Below are 992 nucleotides of genomic sequence, written 5' to 3' on the forward strand. Positions count from 1 at the left end.
AGCTGAGATGCTGAAGAAAGAGGCTGATAAATACAGTTTCTTAGGCAGAAACAATTAATAGGGACTTATGAACAGAAGCCATGTCTGTGTCTCAGGCAGCAGTGAGATAAGATGGTAAATTCCTGTGCCATTAACCCCAGAACCCAGGGCTTATATGCCATAGAGAAGGAATGATTCAGAAGGCATATGTGGGACAACTGAAGTATGATAATGTAAAAGTTGTTTGTCCTAAGGGCAGGATTTATAATAAGTACCTGTTCTTACACAAGGAGCAATAAATAAACTGGAAATCTTAAAGGTCTTCCCACCTGGAGTTAATCAGAAGCCAACAGGGCAGATCACCATTCAAGATGGAGTTACTTGAGCCTCCCATCTAAGAAAGAGTAGCTTTAGCCTCCAAAACATTTCTTTCATAAATTCTCTTTATAAACTTTATCATATCTTACACAGACTATTTATGACATACTTGGACTTTCTGTTTTGTCCAAAATTTCCCTCTTTCTTAAATAACGAGTTTTTTTTTTTTTTAGGACTAAATTTACTATACAAGACTCTTTCTCATACAAAATTATTCTTTTTACCCAATTTTTAAAATAAATACATCTTTGGATTTGTATAATAGCCTTTGAATTTGACAAAGATTATTTTCCTTTTAATAAGAACATATTTTTATGTCTTTATTATAATTTCTTTTTCATAAAAAAACTTACTTTGGCACTCTTTGAATACAGAATTATATATTAACAAGAATTTTTATTCTTAGTAACCTTAATTTTTTGTGAAAACCTAGGAAGTAGTAAATCTTGAATTGTCTGTCATATATCAGTATTTTATAGATGAGAACCGTTTTATATTATTTTAGAAATATGTTTTTCTGTTTTTTAAATTAGAAGTGATCCAGACACTAAATGAGTATTATTTAATTTAACTTTAAGATTTTAAATTATATGACAAGTTCATTTATAAGCACTTATCCCATTAAAGTTAACTAA

At 29.8% G+C, this 992-nt stretch overlaps 1 annotated feature.

Annotated features, from left to right (window-relative positions):
- Positions 259-459: a silencer, noted in NCBI's record as "peak839 fragment used in MPRA reporter construct". NCBI's record gives its function as "represses an SCP1 promoter by STARR-seq MPRAs in K562 erythroleukemia cells {active_cell/tissue: K562}" and the evidence as "EXISTENCE:reporter gene assay evidence [ECO:0000049][PMID:32103011]".

Source organism: Homo sapiens, chromosome 1 (assembly GCF_000001405.40).
Source record: "Homo sapiens chromosome 1, GRCh38.p14 Primary Assembly".
NCBI lineage: Eukaryota > Metazoa > Chordata > Mammalia > Primates > Hominidae > Homo > Homo sapiens.